This window comes from Homo sapiens, chromosome 2, assembly GCF_000001405.40.
Source record: "Homo sapiens chromosome 2, GRCh38.p14 Primary Assembly".
NCBI classification, from domain to species: Eukaryota; Metazoa; Chordata; class Mammalia; order Primates; family Hominidae; genus Homo; species Homo sapiens.
The window spans coordinates 174,768,412-174,793,226 of NC_000002.12; the positions used below are offsets into that span (position 1 = coordinate 174,768,412).

Here is a 24,815-nt window from a genome sequence, read left to right on the forward strand (position 1 = left end):
TAAATTGTTATAACTAATAAGTAAATTGTTTAATGTGTCATCAGGTAAAAATTGCTATAGGAAAAAGAAAAAGCAGAGCAGGATAAAAGGGGACCAGGACAGCTGGAAGGGGATTGCAATTTTAAACACAGCAGGTAGGGTGGGTTTCACTGAGGAGGTGGCGTTTGAAGGAGATGCAGACAGATATCTGTGCAGGAGCATTGCAGGCAGAGTGAGCAGCAACGCAGTCCCTGAGGGGAATGGGACTGGTGATCTCGGGCATAGCCAGGAAGCTGGCAGGCTGGAGCAGGGCGAGAGATGGGGAAACTGCTAGGAGATGAGGTCAGGGAGCAGCCCAGGGAAGGGGGACGCAACACGCATCCTCGACTTTCATTCTCTGTGAGATGAGGAGCCTCTGCAGCATTTTGAGCCGAAGGGTGACACCATCTGACATATGCTGTCAAAGGTCGACTCTGGCTGCTTTGGGGACACCAGGCTGTGGGGGTGTAAATTAGGAGCTACTACTGCAGTAATCCCTGAGGTAGATGGTGATGAATTGGACCAGAGTGGTTGCAGTGAAGGTGGTAAGAAGTCGTTAGATTTGGGAAATGTATTTTGACGTGAGGGTTAATGGGATTTCCTGAAGGATTTGATCTAGAATGCAAGAAAAAGGGAGGCATTTAAGATGATTTGCAGGGTTTTGGCTTGAGCATAAGGAAGGATTTAAATGCCAACAAGTGGATTAAGGAAGACCGTGGATGAGCAGGTTTAAAGGGGGGAAAATTCAAGGGTTCTGCCTGGGGTGTGATCAACTGGAGGTGTCCATTAGAAATGTGAGCAGGCAGTTGGATTTTTGAGTCAGTAGTTTGGGAAATCTAGAGTAGATGTTGTTTAAAGCCACAACAGGATAAGGTCAAAGGAATCAGTATGGGCAGAAAAGAGAAGAGAACTAACATTAAGTTGGAGGCTGGGCGTGGTGGCTCACGCCTGTAATCCCAGCACTTTGGGAGGCCAAGGTGGGTGGATCACCTGATGTCAGGAGTTCAAGACCAGCCTGGCCAGCATGGTAAAACCCCATCTCTACAAAAATACAGAAGTTAGCCAGGCATGATGGCGGGTACATATAATCCCAGCTACTTGGGAGGCTGAGGCGGGAGAATCACTTGAACCCGGGAGGTGGAGGTTGCAGTGAGCCAAGATCACACCATTTCACTCCAGCCTGGGCAACAGAGTGAGACACCATCTCAAAAACAAAAAGAAAAAAAAAAAAAACAGTTGGGAAATAACTTGGGAGGCTGAGGCAGGAGGATCACTTGAGGCCAGGAGTTTGAGCCCAACCTGGGCAACATAGTGAGACTCCATCTCTATGAAAAATAAAAAAAAAAATTAGCCAAGAATTGTGGTGTGTGCCATGGTCCCAGCTACTTGAGAGGCTGAGGTGGGAGGATCCCTTGAGCTCAAGAGGTTTAGGCTACGGTGAGCCATGATCATGCCACTGCACTCCAGGCTGAGCAACAGAGTGAGACTCTGTGTCATTAAAAAAAAAAAAAGTTGAGAAGAAGAGGAGGGTGCAGCGAAGAAGACTGAGAAGGAGGACACAGTGAGGCAGGAGGAGATCCACAAGAGGGTAGAGTTCTGGAAGCCTGGTAAAGGCCAGTGCAGGAGGTGGGGTGGGGGTGAGCCCATGAGATGAGGACAGAAATGGCTACGGGGCTTAGCACTATGGAGGCAGGCCACTGGCAACCTCACATGTGTGAAACCTGACTGAAATAGGTTTAAGGGGGCAGAATTGGAGGTTTTACTGAAAAAGGTAACAAAGAAATTAGGTGGGAGCTGGTGGGAGCAGAGTGAAAAGAATTTTGTTGTTGTTGTTTTGTGCCTTTTTCTGAATAGAAAAAAATAACAGCATACAGCATATTTGCATGATAATATTCAACAATAATAGAGATATAATGTTTTGATCCAATCAACAACATTACAAATGTTCCAGAGGGGGCTGGGCCCAGTGGCTCATGCCTATAATCCCAGTGCTTTGGGAGGCCAAGGGAGAAGGATCGCTTAAGGCCAGGAGTTGGAAGTTACAGTGAACTGTGATAGCTTAACCAGTGCATTCCAGCCTGAGCAACAGAGTGAGACTCGGTCTCAGAAAAACAATTTCAAATGGGATTTACTATATATGCTTTTCTTTTCTTTTTCTTTTTTTCTTAATTGAGGCAGGGTCTTGCTCTGTCGCCCAGGCTGGAGTGCAGTGGCATGATCTCAGCTCACTGCACCTCTGCCTCCCAGGCTCAAGCGATTCTCCTGCCTCACCCTCCTGAGTAGCTGGGATTACAAGTGTATGCCGTTATGCCTGGCTAAATTTTTGTATTTTCAGTAGAGACGAGGTTTCACCATGTTGGCCAGACTGGTCTCGAACTCCTAACCTCAGGTGATCCGCCCACCTTGGCCTCCCAAAGTGCCGAGATTACAGGCGCGAGCCACCGCGCCCGGTCCATTTTCATTTTCAATGCCTGAGAATGTTCTCTTTTTTGAATGTATCATAATTCATTTAACCAATTTCTTACCATTGGATGTTTTCATTTTTTATTTTTAATTTTTGCTTTTATAAATAATCATGCAGTGGACATCCTTATACATATAAATCAGCCCAATTTTCTAACTATTGCCTTAGGATGAGTTTCTAAGAGTAGAAGTGCTGGGTCAGAAAATGAAAACATGTTAAATAATTTTAACGCATATCAAATAGCTAAATCTCCATTTTAGAATCAACCAAAGTCACTTAGACCTGCTCTTCTCACGGTTATATTTTTCTATTATACCTGTCAGGGTGCATATGTTACATTTATTTGTGTGATTATCTGATTAACGTCTGTTTCTCCCACTAGACTGCAACCCAGTGAGTGCAGAGATGGCACCTGTTTCTGCTCACCGCTGTATCCTTAGCTTTTGGCTGACAGCTTGTCATCCAGTAGGCAGTCAGTAAATAACTGCTGATGAGGGAATGAATGGATGTAAAGCTTAATTCAATGAATAGGGTAGAAGATCATACTAGATAATGTCATTTGGGGATAAAATAAAATGTGACTATCAGTCACCCCCAGTGCCATGCAGGGTACCTGCATGTAGCTCCAAAAGTGTTTGCAGTTGACTAATTAATGCATGAATGAAGTATATCTCTTTTATAAAATCCACCTTCTTGTGTGGCTTAATGAATGGAATAATTGTGGATCCTCCCAAGGTCACTTCTTTGGAGAAAACACAGGCTGTCTGCATTTGGGTGCAGCTCCCTGGGGCCTGGCTAACTCTTAGCCAAACTCCTGTTTCCAGCATGGAGTGCCTTGGTCCAGTGGCCAGCAGGTGGCAACAAATGGTTATTAAAGCGGTGGCCGAGCGCTAGAGGCTCTCTCCGGATGAGGTGTCTCTCCTGCTGTGCCCCCAGGGCCTGTGTTTTGGAAACTCCAGCAAGCCAGCCCAGCAGGCCCTTTCGGGTGAGGAAGGCACCCCAGGAACTACAGGTGCTCCTCAGAAGAGTCAAGAAAGAGGGGTCAACTCTAAGCCCCTGAAAGAGCCCGACTTTGCATTTCTATTTCACAAGCTTACAGTTCTGAGTAATTGTACTGGAGGGCTGTAGAGCCAAAGGCAATTCATGTGCAAATCTAGGCTTCTTCAGGCGTGAGATTTCATCCGGTTTACACCAGATGACCTGCCTCTGTCATGTCTCACTCTGTCTGCAATGGTCAGTTTCTTCTGTTTTTTTTTTCAGCCAGGCTCAGTGCTATGCAATCACGCTGACAGTCTGTAGTAATGATTGGGTTTGTTACCACTGGATTACACAAAGGCTTCTAACTACATACAAAGAGGTTGCTGACCACTCATCATGGGTTCCCCCGACCTTGGTGTTGTTTCTTCCAGGGGCAGGGATGGATTTGCCCCCGTCCTGCTTCACAATCTCCCTTTTTCTCTGGGTCTAACGGTAGAGGGGAAATCACCCTGTACTGCAATCCTGTTAGCTACCACCTCATTCTTGCAGCAGCTCAGCTGTGCACGTGACATACGTCATGTGTCTGAGCTCACTTAGATCCAAGTACCAGGAGGGGAATCTGATATTTCTGACCCCAAACACGGTGCTCTGTCCACTACACTCATGGTTCAAACTGTGCTCCAGGAAGCTCTCCTGAGGTGGCCATGAGAGAAGGAAAGGAGGAGAGATCGTGGACAGGGAGGAGTGGCCAAAAGGGTGGTGCTCCCTGCTTCCCACCCTTCCTTCATCTAGAACAGCTGTGCTTTGATTTTTAAAATATACGTGTGCGTACATTAAATTATAAATGTAATCTTTCTCTTAACTTTCCTTTCAGAAGGAGGAGAAAAATCTGCGCCTCTTTCTCTCAAGGGATACTTTGTCTCTGGGGTACTTTCTGACCCAGTGGACCCCTGGCAGAAGTAAGCGTGGACTGTGGCTGCAGGACCACGCAGAGTCAACACGAACCGAAGCCAGGCCTTGGCCACGGCAGCTCTGGGGTCCAACCACTTGATCAATGCAGGAAATGCTTTGATGGCAGAATTCTTCCATGGCCAGCTTCTCATATTCTCTGGGACAGACACAAACCAAGAAAAATGAGTGTGGCGCAGAATCTGATGTGTCCTTCCTTACCCCGTGCTGGTAGCAAAAAGTATGTCTTGAACTTTTCTTTGTTACACACAGTCTGGGTAATAACAGACTGAAGGAAAACTAAAGAAGCTTGGGAGGCTAAGTTCAATGACAAATGAAGAACTAAGGCAGAGAAAAAAGAGAATTGAGAAAGTGTCTGGGTGTCTGGAGAGGTTGGGGGAATAGAGAGGGAGGAGATATAATTGGCCAGATAACTTGAGAGTGGGAGAGGAGTGCAAACATTATTTTTGAGGCGCTTTGTTGGATATTTAAAATGCACTCCTACCTTTGGCATTTTCTCAAAAGGCAAGAAAGATTTGTTTTCAATTCTATTTTTCTGCTGGACTGAACCAGTGCCAAGACTGGACCATGTAGGATCCTGGGTTTATTTCAGTTACATAAGCAAACGTTGCTGTGATTTGGAATAGTCAAAGTCATGAATGTTTCTCAACTTCCATTTTGTCAGCTGCTTGAGTTTCTATTCTGAGAGGTGCTAACTGTGAACATTGTTATTCACTTGTGTTCCCTAAATCACTTTTAATTAGTTTTAATTTGAACCAAGAATGTTCTACTGTTGAAACTATGTCAAGAATGATCAAAAATGAAATTAATAAAGAATTCGCGTCAAAAAAAATTTGCACTAATATTACAGTATTTTATAATGTCTATCTCAGCAGAGTCACAGATAATTTAGAATTTTTAATTTTGTTTTTAAGTGATTTTCCTCAAAGCTATAATAGCCTTGGTAAAGAGTTTAGTTAAACATTATTTTTCACCTCTCACGCATTTTGTGTAATGAAATTTTTCTATCATCTTCCAGTGGAATTAATTGCATTGGTGCAAAAAATGCAATCAAATCGATGACTGAATTTAGCCTTTGAAACCTCACGTCTAGCTGGGATAGTTACTATATTCATTACATACTGAAAAATGATAAGCAGTAAGCTTTTCTGCTAAAAAACTGCCAAAGATAAGTTTTTCAAGGCTCTCAAAATATCCTAAAGCTGACAATACAAGAAATGTTAAAATATTGTTGGAATTTTTAACGGAATCTTCCTTCTCTTCTTTTCCTGTTTAAGACAATAGTAGTTAGTTGTCCACTAATCGTTAATACACGATTTTCTAACAAAGACTTGCATATCCTTTTGGCTAAAAAGTGGCCAAATATCAGAGAGCTAGAAGTTTGGGAGACAGCCTTTAGTCTTTTCCAAAGCATGTAAGCCCTTTTGAATCATTTTGGGTAAATGGCGAAGATTAAACAGAATTCATAAAGGGTTTCTGATACATAAGTGGAATGTGCCTGTGAGGACACTACACATGACAATAATCTAAGCATGCTCTCTTTTAGTCCCAAAACGTGTAGAGTAATGTCACATGAAATTTACAGGAGGCCATTGACTTGGACTGAGCTCCTGCACCAGGCCTAACAGACCAAACCAAAATGGAGTCACTCATGCTGAAGTTCACACCACCAAGCCAAAACTGAGTTGTTTATCCGATCTTCCAAGAAATCAAGAAAGACAGGGAGATAACAGCCCAATCCCCAAACAGGCCAGTTTTTGCTGGCATGATAGGAAGGCCCCTCTGCTTCAAACTTTCCAAAGAAAGTAACTTGGAAACAACCAATCTGCTTTTTGTTCTCCGTTTCTGCTTTCCTCAACCATTTTCTGACCATAAAACCAACATCCTTTGCTCGGCTCATGGGAACATTCATTCTATTTTGTAGAATGAGGTGTTGCCCGATATTCTAGATTTGCAAATAAAAGCCAATTAAGATCTTTAAATTAAATCTGTTGTAACTTTGTCTTTTGACACTAATAAATGCACGAACAGGTTTCTTTAGAGAAAGCCCGTGATATGCAGGGTATGTTTGACAAGTGCTGTGGTCAAATGTGATACTGTTTACATTCTCATTTTCATAATTTTCTTAAGTACTATGTAATTTGGTCTTGGGAATGCTTCGCTAATTACGGGTGAGGAGGATGGGCCTTGTATGTGACAGAATGATTTAGTGTTCTGTAGTTCAGTGGAAAGAGTGTAGATGTGTTGAATATTTATGACGTTTTACCTTCTCTCTTTGTTACAGAGGCCTTACAACAAATTAAAACATGTGTGTCAGCTCCCTAATTATCTAGCTAGACTTTTAAAGATTGGCTAGTTAAGGCTGAATTTTATTCAAGCACTACTTCATCTGTCATACTATTTTAAGTACATTAGCCTTGTTAGCCTATTATATGGCCATGATCAGTACTGTTTAAATTGCCAACTTCTACAAGTCCCTTCTGTGTGCTCTGGCTCAATCAATGCATTAGTGGTACTAGCTTAGTTTTGTCACAGTTCTGGGCACATTGGCAGTCCCCGGGTGGGAGGCCTGGAGCTCCTGAGTAAACATAGTGCATCTGCCTGGAGCTTCAATTTTACTTGAGGATTTGGAAAAATATAAATTAATCGATTTAACCATTTATTTAATGTGCTCCAATTCTTTATTTAATTGGCTGCAAAGCAAACAAAATTATGCATTAGCTATGTTATGACTAAAACCCAAATGTTGTTGAATACTTTCAGTGATAGAATAACAGCGTGTAAACCCAGAAGTATGACTGCTTAGCTGTCAGATTTCCAGCCAGAAACCGGCTGAGAAAAAAATGTGATGACACTCATCCTGAGAAGTGTTGGGACGGAGCCTCACCTGGCTTCTGGGTGAGGCAGTCCAAAGCCTACTCCCATCTCATGTCAAAGTCCCCTGTCATTGCATAGGAACTCCAGGGACTGTTCAAGAAGGAACAGGAAGCCTCCAACCCAAGGGAAGGGGACTCATCCTGTTGTCAGGTGAGATCCTGAGAAGCATGGGTGAGCTCAGCATGGGCGGGGCCATTGAGGAAGTTCCTCTTTCCTCAGCTAAGCCGCACTGGCCAGGAGGTCCCTGAGTCCTGAGAGCATCCTCCCAGAGCTGTCCAGGTTACTCTCCAGACCTGGTCGTGGCACCTCTCAGCTCCTGGTGCCTGAGTCCCTGCCTTTGACTAGGATCACCATTTATCACCCCCCACTGCACCCATTGCCCCTCACCTGCCCAGTGTGGTGACACAGTCTTGCTCAGGTCCAGTCCTAGTCCTGTGAGAGAGTTTCTGCCCTTGACTTTGGTCCACATTTCCAGTTCCTGTCTTTATGTGGTCCACTGCCAGGACTATAGACGAGTTCAACCAATGAACAATATAAAGTTTGATCTTTCTGTGAAAATAAATATGAATGCAAAATTCACATGAATGCTTAAAATATCAGACCTCAAAGATGAGTGCTGTCTATCTGTGGCCCCTTTGAGCAATCCCTGTGCCCCTGGAGGATGCATTCATCCGCTGCTGTTACAGCGCCACCAGCAGTCACTTTTGAGGAGTGCAGCTCCAAGGGATGACGGTATAAGGGGAAGAATTCAGCCAAAGTGAGATGTCCTCCAGCAAAATCAGAGACAGTGCCCTTCAGAGGGCTCGTGTCCTGCTGGAATTGGGAAATTCCATAAGGCTGCAGATATTCAGCCTCCTAACTGAACTCTATGCAATGCCTTTATCCCCTCCTCCCGATCTGTGCAAAATATCAAAGGAATAAAACCTGTTTTCTTTCTTAGTGGTTGCACCAATTTTGTGCAGTCTGGTTCTTTTCTGTTTTTCTGTAAAATTGTTTTCAGAAGTACTTAAAGTTGTTGTGGTGAAAGTTAACTTTATGATGCTTGTTTTTCGTTTCAAAAACAATAAAGGCAGCTTTGGCTCATGCTGAGAACCTGAGCCAAGATAGCAGGAGATAGGATTCCAGGGCCCTTTCAGCTTCCTTGTGATGACTTGTAAAACAGCACACACAGCCTTGGCTCTATCCTCTTCCCACCCCGCACCCCCTTTCTTAGAAACATGAGGAGCCCAGGCAGTCATGAGAAACCTTTCTGAGCATGAGAGTCTCACTGAACTGAAGGGTCAGAGGATGACTAGGCCCCCCCTTGTCCTGGACAAACGGCTGCTGTCCCAGTGTTTTCCTCCTTGCTCCTAGGATGGGGGCTTTCAGGATACGTTTTGGGTGGGAAGAGATGCACCAGAAGGCATCCCTAATTTGAGGTGGGGCTGTGATAGTCTTTGCTTTAGCCAGGCCAGTTCCAGACCTGATGCAATTAATCCTGCATTAAGGTCGAAGCTGCTGACCCCTCTCAGAGGGCCCCTCAAGTTCTACCTCTTCAAAATATAAATATCAGTCCCAGAGCCTGATCTTTGGCTCATATTTCCTAGAGAAAAATACTTGAAAAATTTGCAGGCATGTACTTCTGTGCTCATTTCAATTCTGAAGGTGAATTGGCATGGTGTTGGTTAAGGAGGACCCTGTCGTTGATTAGAATGGTCACCTTAAGTAAGGACTTGTTCCTAGTGCCTGGCTCTGTGACAAGCATCCCCAGCCTGCCAGTGACACAGCATTTGTGTATCCCTTTTTGTCCTAAACCAGAGCTCATTCTTGTACCATATGTATAAAGACTGATACTTTGCAGATGGAAATTCCTCCCTGAGACAGAGACAGATCATCTGCCCCCCTCCCATATGGCTTAGGAAGGGCAAAGAAAGAGCCAGAGGAAGCAAGCTTAGAAAGTGAGAGCAAGGGAATCGGGAGAGAACAATTCAAAGACAGAACTGGGAAGCAGGTTTTAGAAATAGGAGGTTGTTGTCAGAGACCCAAGGGAGACATATGAGGGAGCTTCCTGGGTGTTGATGTGGCCTGAATCTTTACACTGGGCCTGGTGTCTGGGAGAAAGAGCCGTCCGTGCCTTCAGGGATGAGAGGCTGAAGGAAAAGCCTGGCTGCCTGCTGTGCGGATGCAGTGAAGATGTGGGGTAGGGTGGGGGCTAGAGAGAGAAAGCAAACTGGGATTAAGGAGAACATTCAGCAAGCCAGGCAATGCTGGGCTCTGCAAAGATCTGGGACCATCTCTGTATTTGGTGTCTGAATGTTCTCACAGTTTAATAAGGCAGTTCTTCCACCTGGATTGGAATAGGGTAAGTGCACACCCTTTCCTTCTTCCCTGCCATCCCCAAGGAGATGCCACAAGGATACCCCACTTTGGGACATAAATTCTAACATACTTGATTTTTTAAAGATCAGTGTCATCACCCAAAAGTTATGCTTGCTGTGTTCATGGTCTGCATTTATGCTCTCTGAATTTGCCTTGTCAAAGCCCGGCTTTTCTCCAGAATCCCACTATGGCAGGAGATCAAGGGAGGGCCTCATGCTCTCCAGCAAATGATAAAATTCCACAGCGAAGCTTTCCCAGCATCATCCAGAAAGAACCCAGAATTAGCTGGGTTCTGACAACCATAGCACATGTCCCCACACAGGCTGTGCACCTTGACTGAGCAACACCCCTGTCCTCGGCCAGCAGAAGACTCGCTTGGCCTGGTGTGGGCAGAAAACATGCCCCAGGCTTTTCTCTTGGCACAGCTTGCTTGGAGCCCTCTCTGCTCCCCCAGAGCCACAGCCCTGCCCCTCGCCCCAGTGATGGTGCTGTGGTTTGCTTATTTTGACATATTCGTTCCTAACACGCTGAAGATGAAAGGCAGGAAATGTGCAGTTCCAGTTCCCATAGCAGCAGTGGTTGGACCACGTTGCGTCACATTTACAGAAGGGTCATGGGATCCTGAAGGCAAACACAGCATAGGCTGACCTCAGGCCCAGGGGCTGGCCTGGCACAGCACATGCTGGGCGCTGCCCGCCCCTAGATGGAATCCCTCCTCACCACGGACTGACCACAGCCTGGCTCACTCCCACCACTGTCTGTGACTGAAGCCACCTCCTCACAAGGTCACTCCTCTTGGGGCTCCCCACTGTCCCAGAGAGAGCCCACTTCCTCCCAGACCACTCCCAGTCCTGGCAGTGTGACTGCTGCTGAGTGACGAATATGGAACTCTCCCTGCCTTTCCAGTTCTCTTCGAGCAGGAAGTGCCTCCAGATCTTTGGGGCAGAGATTGGAAACCCCCAGTATTCTAAAAAAGTGGCAGAACTTGACCCATCAAGACCCAAAGGGAAAAAAAAGCCAAGGCCTTGCTGTTTTCCCTCAGTGACCATCGGCCCTTCCTGCAGTCCCCAGCCAGCTAGATGATTCTTCTCTAAAACACGCCATCTTTCCCATAAGATATAACTAAGCATCACTTCCACCCACACTCAGGATGTTAAGACATTTGAAGAATAATTTGTTCTAGACCCGAAAAAAACCTTGCAGGAAGAATTCCACTTCCCTTCCTCCAGGTGTGTGCCATGTGGCTTGGTTATGGGGGCAGTGGGGGCTGTAACTGGCTTCGTATGTGGCCATTTCCTGCCTTTGGTGCAGTTAAACCAAGCCCTGGGTCATTAGGCTGCAGGAATACCATTTGTGCATTTCATTTCCTTGGGGATGATTTTTTAAAGTGGCTCTAATGCACCTGATCACACTCAGATGTGTTCCCAGGGAAGTAGGCGATTTGAGAGTGCAGTAAAGCCAGCTCGCATGTGCCCAGATCCAGCTCAGTTTCCTGTTCAACAGAAGCCACTAAAGACAGGTACTCAGGGTTGATAATGTCCTTTTGTGCCTTTGTCTGGGGCAGCTCATTAAGGTAGAGACACCTCAGCGCTGACAGGACAACCCCTTCCTGTGTGTTCCAGGGAAACCTAATTGACTACAAAACCTTTTTTTTTTTTTTTGATGTTACCACTGCCAGATACAAATCCAATTAGCAGCAGAGTTAACTCAGATGAATCCTGGAAACACGGAAATACCACATTCTACAGCTAATCAGACCCGTGGAATGATGACACATCTGGATGTCATCAGGAAGGTGGGATTCTGAGGACAATAGGAGACTGGATGCTCTCAGAGCCCACATGTTCCACTGATTTCAGAGCCCCCTTCTGTGGGTGAATTACAAGGACTTCGAGGATTAACAGTCGGAGGCCAGCTTCTGTCTGCTCAAGGCCTCTGGGTCTAGGAACATCATCGCTTTATTCTGAGGCCAAGAGATATTCAAAAGAAGTCACTAAGGTCTTATTTCCAGTAGAGCCCCTTGGTCCCTCCACAAATCCCTCCCTACAAATCTGGATGGATTTAAGAAACCCTTTGTTTCTTGTTATGTGACCCTTCTCCCAGAGACTTGGGAATCCTGTATTCTGACTCTCCTGAGAGTAGAAGCAAACTAGTAATTTCAAGGCACAGAGGGATGCTCTGGCCCTCCCTGACCTCCCTTTAAATAATTAATGTTGCCAGGCAGGTGCTAAAAGACTAGGCAGAGAGAAAAATGCCAATGCAAAAGGGCAAGTGCAAAAGGAAATACCTGCCTGGCCTTTGAGTGATCATGATGGTGACTATTCACCATTGCAATGTGGATTGTAATGTTGGAAGACACTCCAGGCTCTGGGAACCTTGCTTTTAGTAATAAAAGCCCCATTTAGAAGTAACCAGGTAGCTAGAACAGCAGGGCTAGAATCAAACCGATCAGAAGCCACGCAGGAGGCTTGTGTGGGGGCTTCTCAGGACATCAAGTTTCATCCTGATTGGTGGCCTTGTTGTTTCAGAAGTCCTCACTTGCCCACAGAACAGGTTTCTCCTCAACCTACTCGCCTGATTGGTGGGAAAACCCCCACTGGTAGAAGTGGCGGCTGTCAGGGTAGGAGGGCAGAGGCTGGTGCAAGATTTGGAGGCTTTTATCCTTCTTATGTGATGTGTGATATGCTTGGTTCATCTAAGTGTAGTGGGTCTACTCTGGCCTCAGACAGGCGGAAAGCATATGGAGATAAGCAGGGTGGAAGTCTCTGGAATCAAAGCCCAGGGGTCTGGGAAATCAGCTGGAGCTCTCAGATGTAAGCAGCAGAAACGAACAAGGGCTGTTTTCAGCAGGCAGTATCCATCACAATTACCTTAGGTATTTACTTTACCCTTCTACAAGCCTCAGAATATTTCAAGGCCCCCTTTACTATCTCTGGTGGATTCAATGGCTCAGCATTCTTCATAGCCACAGGCTTTCATGGACTTCATGTTATTATTGGATCAACGTTTCTCACTATCTGCCTTTTCAGTGGAAAAGGAGTGTATTGAATGGCTATGGGGTGGCTCAGAGTCAGCGAGGGCTGCAGCGTGAGCTTGGAAAACAGCAGGAGGGCTCTGGCGCAGCCAGGCTCATGGGCAGAACCACACCAGAAGCCTAGGGCCGGGAGGGCTCTGGGACGCCTGCTGTGGGTTCCTGGACATCACAGTCCCCTATGGGTACCGCTGGTGCTGGGCCTGGCCACCGTAGGGGAACAGCTACCTCCAAGGCCACTGAGGACACAGGGTTCCACCCCCTGCAGCCCCCTGCCATGGTGGTCCCTCGTTGTTCCTGCCACTCTCAGCTCTGGCATCTCACTTAAGTCTGTGTGTCTCTAATTGGCCCAGCTCAACCATGTGCCTGTGCCCCACGGCAAGGTGTAAATATCCACGATGCCTGAATTCCGATGCAGAGCCCACACTCTCCAGGAGGAAAGCTACTGATTGCTCTCTTTATCACCAGCGGACTACAATGAAGACTAAACGAGACAACAGCCTGGCCCTCATGAGGCTGTCCTTTCCTGCCCCTACCGCCCAGCTCCTTTGGTCCAAGCACCAAATTCCGCTTGGTGGATATCCAGGCCCTTCACTTCACTTCTCTTTCTTCCTCAGGCTGTTGTTCCTTCTGTATCTCTCCTTAGGGCCTCCATAGGGAGGGAAGGGGGCATGAGGTAAAGTCCTGTGCCATTGCTCTCCAGTTTACAGCGAGGCAGGTGCAGCTAGTGGCCAACTGATGGCCACAGCAAGGGTGTTAACTGGTTAGAAAATGCCAAGCACCTGCCTCGGAGCTCAGTCCCCACCTGTGAAATAAAGCTGCAGCCAGGGTCTGGGGCTCACACGGAGGAGGAGGGTCTCCAGCAAGGAGGTCACCCTTCAGATGCAGGACAGAGCAGCAGAAGCCAGGCGGAGTTCCACCCTAAGCAAGGTAGGAAGAAAACGGAGTGGGCTGCAGAGCACTGGGAGTTTTTTGAAAAATTATAACAAGACTTCTTTGTTTATCTTCTCCCTGGCTTCCGCAGCCGGTCTGAGTCGGGATAAATTCAGCACAGGAGGAAAATGCAGCATTTCCTCCCCCTCTCCTCCCATTTTAGGTGAGAGGAGGAGGTGGCATGGGGGATAGAGAAAGATCTGGCAAGCTCGCCAGCTGGCACTGCGGCTGGGCTGAACACAGCGAGCTTGCTCTGCGCCCCCACAGAGCGGGGCCCAGAGCAGAAATGCGGAGGTATCCTCTCTCTTTGCTCCCCTTCCACCATCTCCTTAGAAGTCAGGTTGGTCTCAGGCATAGAGGGGGTAGGTAGCCCCTTGCTCAGTATGATCCAAGCGTCCACACACCTGCAGGCCCCTGCAGAGCCCCAACAATCAGGCTCATGGCACGCAGCTTCTGGGGGGAGCCATGTTTTTAAGAGTACACCGTTGCTTTCAGAAAGACCCATTTAAAATGCAAACCGGTAGCTTGGGAACAGCAATATATGACAAGCTCAATCCCCTCACGGAGTTGACCATCATATTACTAAGGGATGGCTCACGCGACAGTTCTAAGGATGGGAGCTGGAGATATTTTGATGCAAGTGAGGACATGCAGTGGTGGGTGCCCTGGGTGTAGGGATCACATGAGGGGCTTGGATAAGAAGGGGCACCAGGAAGATTAGTAGGAATAAGGAATGAGGTTGGAGACAGGGATTGTGAGCACGAGGCCTCTTCACCCCCTTAGGCTTACACTTACAGAGCCTCGCCTCTCCCTAGCATAGGGAAGAAGTTGGAAAGCTTTGGATACTGCTGTCCAAAACCCAAAGACCTTTCACAAGAGCCTGGGTCTGGACAACATGTCTGGTCTCCTCCCGATCCCTGTGTTGATGGCGGAGAAGGTGGTGTGATGACAGAGGCCAATGCATTCTGTAGGGGAGAAGGGACTCCCCTAGGAGCTGGATCTAGGGACAGACTTAAGCAGCATTTTATTTTTTGTATCAATTTCATGCATGGTTTGTTTGTTTTAAAATCTGGTTCAAGGCATTGTAGCTATGAAGACTCAGTTATTACTGAGCCTACACTGGGTGGGAGGATGGGGAGGCCTGCGGGGCTGCTGTTGCCCTTTTGAGTAGTTCCATTCTGGTGCCCAGAGGCTGGCATCACAGGGAGTCCTTGGCCCTTGGCCACTGAACAGAATAAAGACTGAAAAAGGGACCATGGAGGTAGGTGACAGAGGTGCATTGCTAAATATTACATTGTATTTTGTTTGAGTCTGTTTGGGCTGCCATAAAGTAATACAGGCTGGATGGATCACACAACAGATACTTATTTTCTCACAGTTTTGGAGGCTGGAAGTCTAAGATCAGAGTGCCAACAGGGTTGGTTTCTGGTGAGGGCTCTCTTCCTTACTTGCAGACGGCCACCTTCTCACTGTGTCCTCACATGACCTTTTCTCTGTACACACATGGAGAGAGAGAGAGAGAGATCTCTGGTGTCTCTTCCTCCTCTTATAAGGATATCAGCCCTACTGGATTAGGGGCCTTATGACCTCATTTAACCTTAATTACTTCTTTAAAGGCCTTGTCTCCAAATACAGTCACATTGAAGATTAGGGCTTTGACACGTGAATTATGGGGTGATATCATTCAGTCCATAACATACCTATATACATACGTATGCATATATGTTAACAGTAATCTTCTGGTGGTGGAATATGAGTGCATTTTTTAGTTTGTGTTCTATGATCTCCAGGTTTCTGCATTAAGAATATCTTACTCCTGTACTTACAGGAAGAAAGCAACAGGTAATAGTTTCTAAAGAGAAGGAACACATTTTCAGTTCAAAATAACATGTACTGTAGGATTATTTCTAGAATTACATCTATAACTTGTGTGCCCATCTACGGACTCACCTGCCTACCCATCTATCTGTCCATCTGTCCATCCTTCCACCCATCCATCCATTCTTCAGTTCTTCCTTCCATTCTTTTTTCCATCTGTGTATTTGCATTGAGAGATATATGGAATGAAAATGAACAAAATGTTTGTGATGGTTGTTTCCGTATGGTGGAGTTTTAAGTGATTTTGTATTCTTCGTACTTATCTCTTCTGCTTGAAATTTGTAATAAGGAGGTACGTAAATTTTTTCTCAATTCACAACATTGAACTTTTTATTTGCTTACACACATGATCCGAATCACTTGATTCTGGAACAGTAGTTGGTCTAACACAGCATCTCTGCTCTATTCATAGGGTGGGTTCTAATCACCAAGCCTAACTGAGCGTTCCTAGCTGGCAAGACTGAGAGCAACTCTGACCCCACAGCCTTGGTCGTGCTGAGGTTGCCAAGCTCAGCGTGTAAAGTGGAGGTGTAGCTCAGTGGGGGAGAAGAGAGGGAGTTTGCAGGCTACACCTGGGCTCCATTTAAACCCACAGCCGGGCATCTCGAGCCTTTGATGTATGCTGTGCAACTGGCTGGCGGGTCTGTAGCTGGCGAGGCTCTGCCATTTACAACTCCAGGGTGACTGCTAAGTGCCCTCAGGGCCTTCCTGCCCAGCTGCAATTGTCATCTCTGTTCCAGTCTCCCCTGACTCCCACTATTCTGAAACTGGGGCAGGAGATCCTGTGGAAAGATCTCCAAGGGCCTCTGAGCTTAGAGATCTCCAAGGTCAAGGATGTGGCTGTTGAACATTTTTAGCTCCAGTGAAATAGATAAGCAGCCTTCTGTGTTCATGGATTTGCAGAGCATTTTCTGAGTGTTGGAGAGCAAAGGAGTAGTAGGCACTTTCTCACCTAGGGTGGGAGTGAGAATGACACAACAGTTTAGGAAAACAGGCTAGCATTCGTTATTTAGGAGAGGCGAAGATACATTGGCACCATGACCTAGCAACCCTGCTCCTAGGCACATGCTTTGCATCTGGAGATGTATACGGATGATCATGAGAGTGTTTTTTCTAATAGCCCCATGCTGGAAGCAACCCAATGCCCATCAACAGTTATAGATGGCCTGCATAAATTGAGCTATATTTGTACAGTGGAATGCTATCCATCTGTAAAGATGAACTGATTACAGCTAGGGCAACAACATGGTCATAACCCACAAACATAAAGTCGAGTGAACAAAGAAAATCGAAAAAGAATATATACAGCATTATATTGTTCATGTGAAGTTCAGAAACAAAGCCATATTTTTTTTAGGGATGCATACAAAAGTAGCAAAAATATGGAAAAAAATTTATAAAACACAAGATACGGATACCCAGGGGAAGGAAAGGAATCAGAATCAGCCAGACTTTCTTTCCCAGGGTGGACAGGGACTTCTGGGGTGCCTGGCAATGTTTTTCTTCTTAACCTGGGTGGTGGTGACAAAGATGTTTGCTTTATAAATTATTCATTAAACTCTTCAGTTACATGTCTTTCTTTGAATATTTTATATTCACTATGAGAATATGCAAAAGAGAAAAGCAAAATCCAGTCTCCATGTCTAGAAATGGCTGCTTCCTTTACCCCAGGCTTCCTTACTTCTGGGACCTCCAAGCAGCATTTGTCCAAGTCTATGACCAGGGTCGTGAGTCAGTGTGCTCTTACTTTCCAAGTTCTATGATGAGCTTAGCCTTATATCTGGGACTGTTGTATGTGTGGAAGTGGGAGGGGTGGGAATATGCTGCCCCAAGAAGACAAAACATTAGGAATAACAGTGAAAACACGAGACAACGCTGTAGAGACTTCCAGTGTGGTGGAAGTTTGGAGAATGAGTCCAGGGAAGGAACACTCCATTGGTCCTGAGGATGGACTGGGGGAGACAGAAGCTGGGAGTGGGGAGGGTGAGAGAGGATGTTGTGATGAAGGTCCCTGTGAATGACCGGTGGAAGCCAAGTATTGCTGGATCCACAGGAGGGTTTGGAAAAGCAGGAGAATGTTTGCTTCACCCCACCTTGTTGCCAGTTTTTGTCCACCAATCAATCAATTATCAATTCAGTGATGCCCCCAGATATGTTATATCTAACAGTCAATAGGAGAATCTTGAACAAAGAAGACATACAGAAACCTTCAGAGAAAAATAGAAAGTGAATAAGAGAATTAAAAAATAGATGCCATTGTTCTCATTGCCAAACTCTATTGGAAAACAATCCTCAGCTGCTCCAGGAAACGCATTAATCAGAAGTCTCCCGGGCTTGCTGTGGAAAATAGTTTGGTAGTTCCTTACAAAGTGAATCATAGAATTACCTTACAATCCAGCGATTCTACTTCGGTTATATATCCAAGAGAATTGAAAGCAGGGACTCAAACAGACCCTTGTGCACCATAGCCTTATTCACCATAGCCAGAGGTGGAAAAACCCAAGTGCCCATCCACAGATGAATGGATAAACAAAATGCAGCACATCTATATAATGGAATATGATTCAGCCTTAAAAAGAATGAAGCATTGAGACTGCTACAACATGGATGCACCTTGAACCCGTGCCAAGGGAAATAAGCCAGTCGCCAAGGGACAATATTATAGAATTATTCCATTTCTATCAGGTACCTAGAATAAGCAAATTCACAGAGACTGAAAATAGAACAGTAGTTAGCGGGGGCTAGGAAAAGAAGGGCATAGTTATTGTGTGTGTGTCGTTGGTTTGCTTCTTTGAGACAGAATCTCACTCTATTACCCAGACTGCAGTGCAGTGGCACAATCTCTGCTCACTGCGGTCTTGACCTCCTGGGCTAGGGTGATTCTCCCACTTCAGCCTCCCGAATAGCTGGGACTACAGGCATGCACCACCATACCTGGCTAATCTTTGTAATTTTTGTAAAGACTGGGTTTTGCCAAGCTTCCCAGGCTGGTCTTGAACTCCTGAGCTCAAGCGGTGATCTGCCTGGCTCAGCCTCCCAAAGTGCTGGGTCTGCAGGTAGCTATCATGCCCCTTGAGAGTTTTTTTTTTTTTTTTTGAGACAGAGTCTTGCTCTGTCACTTATCCTGGAGGGCAGTGGCACGATCTCAGCTCACTGCGACCTCCGCCCCCCGGGTTCAAGCAATTCTCCTGCCTCAGCCTGAGTAGCTGGGATTACAGGCGTGTGTGGCCACCCCCAGCTAATTTTTGTATTTTTAGTAGAGACGGGTTTTACCATGTTGGCCATGGCTGGTCTTGAACTCCTGACTTCAAGTAATCCACCCGCCTCATCCTCCCAAACTGCTGGGATTAGGGGCATGAGCCACCACGCCCAGCTGAGAGTTATTGTTTCACAGGTACAGTTTCTATTTGTCATGATGATAAAGTTCTGTAGATGGATGGCACAACACTGTAAATATAATTAATACCACTGAATTGTACATTTAAAAATGGCTACAATGGTAATTTTATGTATATTTTACCATATTCCAAAAAGAAGTCCACAGAAGCTCAAAAAATTGTTCCTGTGTGTTGAGATAGAGGAGAGAGGCCTGGGCTGTGGAATCATTTACTGAATACCAAGAAAGAAAACAAGGTAAACTTTCCTTGTTGAAGGTTGAAGAAGAAAAAAATGCTTTCTTTGGCCTATCCCTGGAGCTTCTGCTACTGTTGGGCCAGCCTCTGGCAGCAGCACAGAGATAGATGTTAAACAGCGCGGGTAGACCTGGGTGCTTTCAGAAAAGTGGCCCCTGCCCCTTCTTCCTATCCTCATCCCTCAACAAAGGCTGAACCCTGGTTACCCTCCAAAAGCCTGTTTTCTGGGAAATTGCCTTTTAGAATTTTTCTTTAAATGTATGAATCCACCCTGAATGCTATTTGAAAAAGAAAAGGAATTTAAAGATGTTGAAGTATGCTTACATATACACAATGGAAAAATTTGCTTCTCAAACAGCCTGAGTAGAAAACCTCGCATCCCCATGGCAACCAGATTCCACTGTGACCACACATCAAATGGGTGGGTGACCTGGCAATGTAGGCCTGGGCTCTTCAGCCCCTCCCTGCGAACATATGGGGCCCAGATGTACCACCCACTGCAGTAGGGTGCTTGAAGCTCCAGGATGGCTGGCTGAGGGCTCTGTTCTAGTCACTAAGGGATATTCCTGGAGACCCATCTAACCTGGGACAGGGAATCAGTTCTTCCTGAAAATCATAGAGGGGCAGGAGACTCTCCCTCAAGCCATTGCCCCGGGGAAATGCAAGACCCCTGTGGCTACTCAGGGGCTTGGATTACTAGGATGAGTGGTTGGGATTTAAAACAATTGTGTGCTGCTGACCAGAAAACCAGGCCCTTGGTAACACAAGAACTGCAAGTCCTGATCAGTTAAAAACCTAAAGAATAATCAGATCCTTAATGCTTCATTTCCTTGAACAGACATCTGACCCTTTTATAGAGTTTGTGTCATCTTCCCCTTTGATCATCTTCCCCTTTGATCATTCAGAACAAGTACTTCTTTCCAAACTACGGTCTCAGTCCCATTTTCAAATAGTATTTTGGAATGGCTAGCCTATGATAACCCCACCTCCCTTCCTGTTGAGCTTCCTAATGATACCGAAGGGAAGAGCGTGGTCCCTTTAAGTGATACGGAAGCGGGGGCGGGGGGGGGGGGGGAGGGAAGGGCGTGGCCCCTGGCTAGGGCTCCACCCCTACGAGCCTAGATGAGGACAGGCATTTTTGTTTTCCTGCTCAAATGCTGCATTTCCCAAGACCACCCTGGCCTGCCACGCCCCCATCCTGTGCCTATAAAAATCCTGAGGCCCTAGCAGGCAGACACACAGATGGCAGGACGTGGAGAGGAGCACAATGGCGGAGGAACTAGGCCACTGACCGGCAGAAGCAGAATGATGCTGTGGCAGTCGGATGAGAGCCCAGGCCGCTGAGCTGTCGACTCCAGGGGGGAAGCCTTCCCACTCCATCACCTTCTGACTTCCCCCATCTGCTGAGAGCTGCCTTTACTCAAAATCTTGCACTCATTCTCCAAGCCCAGGTGTGATCCGATTCTTCAGTTACAGCAAAGCAAGCACCCAGGATACAGAAAGCCCCCTGTTGTTGCAACAAGGCAGAGGGTCTAATTGAGCTGGTTAATACAAGCTGCCTATAGACGACAAAACTAAAAGAGCGCAGGGTAGCACACGCCCACTGGGGCTTCAGGAGCTGTAAACATCCACCCCTCGACACTGCCGTGGGGTTGGAGCCCGGTAGCCTTCGCGTCTGTATGCTCCCTAGAGGCCTGAGTAATGGGGCACTGAAGAAGCAAGCCGGTCCCCGTGTCGCACGCCCTGCAAGGGCGACAAGTGAACTTTTCCCATTTCACTAAGGTCTTTCTTTTACGAAATTGATGTATAATAGTTGTACATGTATATGGGGGTACGTATAATATCTTGATACCTGTATACAATTTGTAATTATCAAGTCAGCTGATTGGGAAATCTATCACTTCAAACATTTTTGAGTTGGGAGAGTCACAATTCTTCTAGCTATTTTGACATAGACAATAAATGATTAACTATAACTTCCCTGCTATACTATCGAATACTACAACTTACTCCTTCTATCTAACAGTATTTTTGTCCCCATTAACCAACGTCTCGTCATCCTCCATCCCTTCCCAGCCTCTGGTAACCACCATTCTCTCTCTATTTCTATGAGATTCACGGTTTTTTTTAGCTCCCACACATGAGTAACATGTTATTTTACTTAACATAATGTCCTCCAGTTTCATCCATGTTGCTGCAAATGACAGGAGTTTTTTATTTTTATTTTTATTTTTTTTTTTTTGAGACAGAGTCTCGCTCTGTCGCCCAGGCTGGAGTGCAGTGACGCGATCTCGGCTCACTGCAAGCTCCGCCTCCCGGGTTCACGCCATTCTCCTGCCTCAGCCTCCCGAGTGGCTGGGACTACAGGCGCCCACCACCACGCCCGGCTAATTTTTTGTATTTTTAGTAGAGACCGGGTTTCACTGTGTTAGCCAGGATGCCCTCGATCTCCTGACATCTTGATCCGCCCGCCTCCGCCTCCCAAAGTGCTGGGATTACAGGCGTGAGCCACCACGCCTGGCCCGGATTTCATTCTTATGGCTGAATAATATTCTATTTTGGATACACCACATTTTATTTATCCATTCATCTGTTGATGGACACTTAGGTTGATTCGCTGTCTTAGCTATTGTGAGTAGTGCTGTGATAAACATGCAAGTGTCTTTGGCATACTAATTTCATTTCCTTTGGATGTATATCCAGCGGTGGGATTGCTGGATCATACTGTAGTTCTAGTTTAGGTTCTTGAGGAATCTCCGTACTGGTTTCCATAATGGTAATACTACTTTACATTTTCACCAACAGTGTGCGAGTGTTCCCCTCTCTATCCTTGCCAGCATTTGTTATTTTTTGTCCTTTTGTCTACCACCATACCATGCTGAACACGGGGATCCCATCTGAGGTCTTTCCTGTGGGAGTGGCCGGAAGGCCATCATCCTTGTAGTCACCCTCCCCTGCTGACCCCAAGGAAAGCTTTGCAGGGCTTGTAGATATCAAAGCAAGCCCTCGATTTTGATATTTCGGGGGCCCCAGCCCCAGACTGGCCAGCTTTCTCATTTCTCCCACAATGCAGTTTTTATAATTGGCAAGCCTTGTTTTTACGTTCCAAGCCTGGAGTCTTTTTCCACAACATTATAGAAGACCTTGGGCATTCTGAGAACTAAGTAGCTTGCTCTTGGCATTGTCTTTGATTGGGCCAGGCTTTCAATGAAGGAAAACACATCAGGAAGAAAGTTGCTCCCAGGGTTGCTGACTGATCGCAGAGATTTTTTTTTTTCTTTACCACTTTTCTTTGTGTTTGGCCAGGTATAGAGTGAGGGTGGGGGGTGGGGAGGCCTCTCCTAGCAGACTGAGCTTTTCTGCACCTTAGGCTAAGGCTGAGTGGGGCCAGTCCTCTCCTGGCCATCTCTGAGACTTGACTCCCCACTACAGAGGAGTACAGGGGCACTGGGCATTTCTTCCTTGTGAGAAATTTTCAGCTCCCGTCAGAATGACCTTCCACCAAACCCTTTGCTTCTTCCCGTCATAAAGTTGGAAGAAGAAAAAAGAAAAGCGGTTCGTGGTATGTGGGCAGGTAAAATGTTAACAACTTTGCTATAATCCATGTTCAGTTCAGTAGACTTGGAACAGCATGAATTTCGCAAAGTGAAAAACTCTGGCTTCCTCTGTAGACGCATTGCTCTGCAATCTGAAAACTAGCAGCAAGCCAGAGTAATAAGAGCAAGGAAGGGGGAGAGGGAGGAAAAAGGGAGAGGGCAGACAAAATCAGTGTCCTAGGGCCTAGCCTGAACGGTTTAAGTTAATGCCTATCTATTAATATCTTTTCTTTCTCCTTCCTTTTTTTCGCCTTTCTCCCTCCCTCCTTCTTGCTGCCTCCCTTCCTAGAGACATGATGATGATGCTTCCCTCTGGCAGCTCTGTCTTATTTGGCTATACCCAGCCAGAGCTATAAGAATTCAAGCCTGTCTTCACAGATGTTTCCTTTTAATCACTATAATTAATATTAGTGATTGTTAATGGGGACATACTAAGAAACACACTTGCAAAATGCTCACTGGCAATTGGAATAACCTTGATTTTGTGAGCCACGCATCCTCTTTGCTTGGCCACCGGTTCCACAGACAATGCATCAGATCCTAGAATTATCTGATCATTTATTAATTTCTTCTCCCAGACCTGGGACAAAACCAGGGGGTTTCCAGAGTGGAAACAACAGGGAAGTTAGCTGTCCTGACTGAGAGACTGTGAAGGTTCTCAGTGTGGATTTCCTCTGATCTCCTGGCATCACCATCTGGAGTGGGAATGGGTATCGGGTGGGTGTTCACTGAATGCTGGTTCTGGGCTGGGCCTGTGTTAGTGGGCAGGCTGCTCAAGTGGCTTTGGGACTCTGGGGCAAGAAGGCATCCTGGCTCCTCCTACTCTGAAAAAGTGGATGGGTGCCTTGCTGGGGGTGCCTCAGCGAAAGGCTGTATGTTGACAGATCCGGGGATTCCAGTCTACTCAAACTCATTAAGCACATGGGAACTCCCGGCATAGGGCAGGCCCAGCAGAGGCTATGCTGGTGGACTGGGGACATTCTCAGCGTGGGGAGCCTGGGCGTCTTGTCACTTCCCATTAGCTGCAGGATGCCAGGATCCTTCATTTCTGATAAATCATTCATCCATCGACCTAAAGTAATGTTTTTAAAACTGATGTTAAGAAAAAAAAATGTTTTTAGATAAGTTAGTAAGTTTGCAGGAACAACAAGGCTTCCCATACACAAGTTGCCAGTTTGTATAATCTCCTCAACTTTTTAAAATGCAGAACTTCTCAGAAGCTTTATTATGCTAACATGATTCTAATTTCCACACAGGTGGAATTGGTATACAGTATTTCCCAAGCTCGTTTAACTGTCGTTCTCTTTGCTCTTGGGATACCTGTTGAACTATCTAATGCATCACCAAACCTGCTGATAAAGCAAAACTAAGCTAGCAGAACTCAAGGCGGAAAGGGAGAGAGCCACAGCATATAAGTCGTGTCTCGGGATGAGGAAGACAGGAGGATTTTGTAGGGTTCTGGGGGGACTCGGCTCAAGTTGGTTAAGGTGGTTTTTTAAGGCAGGGCATATAGTAGTTAAGACTAGCCAACCCAGCAGGGTCTGGCAGGGACTTTTGATAGATAAGCTATTGTTTGGTAAGCAAGCTGTTTGCTCAGGTGAGCAGTGTGCTGTCTCAAGTAGATTGCTCTATAGGGAGTTTCTGAAGCAAAAGTGAAATTATTGCTTCATAGTCTTATCTGCCTTGGGCAAAGATTTCCTGGACAAAACAACTAAGTCATGTTGACACAGGTGGTCTCAGTTCTTAGGACCTATAGCTGTGTTCGGTTGATGGAGGTTGTCATAGTTCTCATAACAATTCATATTTCTCACATGTACAAGAGACTAGTACATGGGATGCTAGTCTTTTCAAATGCACTCTGAGAAATACAGAATCTTTGAAGTTAACATTTCCAACAGAAAGTCCTTGAGTTTAGTGCCTATTGCATAAAAATGACTTCCTGTGTTTCTCGGGAACCTCCCTGGTCTTCCTAATTAAGGATTTTAGTTAATAAGTGTTCATCTGATTCATTCTCCTTGTGATTTGTGATTTTTATAAAATTTGATAAAGTCCCATTTCCTTTCTCTAAGAACATCTAATTT

General features: G+C 46.0%; 1 long non-coding RNA gene across 1 annotated transcript, besides 3 other annotated features; it reads right to left on the reverse strand.

Moving 5' to 3' along the window:
• Positions 13,636–14,243: an enhancer, noted in NCBI's record as "H3K4me1 hESC enhancer chr2:175646775-175647382 (GRCh37/hg19 assembly coordinates)". NCBI's record gives its function as "activates a minimal SCP1, AML or CMV promoter by ChIP-STARR-seq in primed H9 embryonic stem cells {active_cell/tissue: H9 hESC(primed)}" and the evidence as "EXISTENCE:reporter gene assay evidence [ECO:0000049][PMID:30033119]".
• Positions 15,808–19,539, reverse strand: LOC124907908 (uncharacterized). The gene is made up of 2 exons (XR_007087311.1): positions 19,463–19,539; positions 15,808–16,458 (listed from the first exon to the last, which is right to left on the reverse strand). It is a non-coding gene; the product is annotated as an uncharacterized LOC124907908 (long non-coding RNA).
• Positions 18,902–19,717: an enhancer, noted in NCBI's record as "OCT4-NANOG-H3K27ac hESC enhancer chr2:175652041-175652856 (GRCh37/hg19 assembly coordinates)". NCBI's record gives its function as "activates a minimal SCP1, AML or CMV promoter by ChIP-STARR-seq in primed H9 embryonic stem cells {active_cell/tissue: H9 hESC(primed)}" and the evidence as "EXISTENCE:reporter gene assay evidence [ECO:0000049][PMID:30033119]".
• Positions 20,130–20,424: an enhancer, noted in NCBI's record as "tiled region #431; HepG2 Activating non-DNase unmatched - State 10:DNaseD, and K562 Activating DNase unmatched - State 4:PromP". NCBI's record gives its function as "activates a minimal TATA promoter and a strong SV40 promoter by Sharpr-MPRA in HepG2 and K562 cells {active_cell/tissue: HepG2 | K562}" and the evidence as "EXISTENCE:reporter gene assay evidence [ECO:0000049][PMID:27701403]".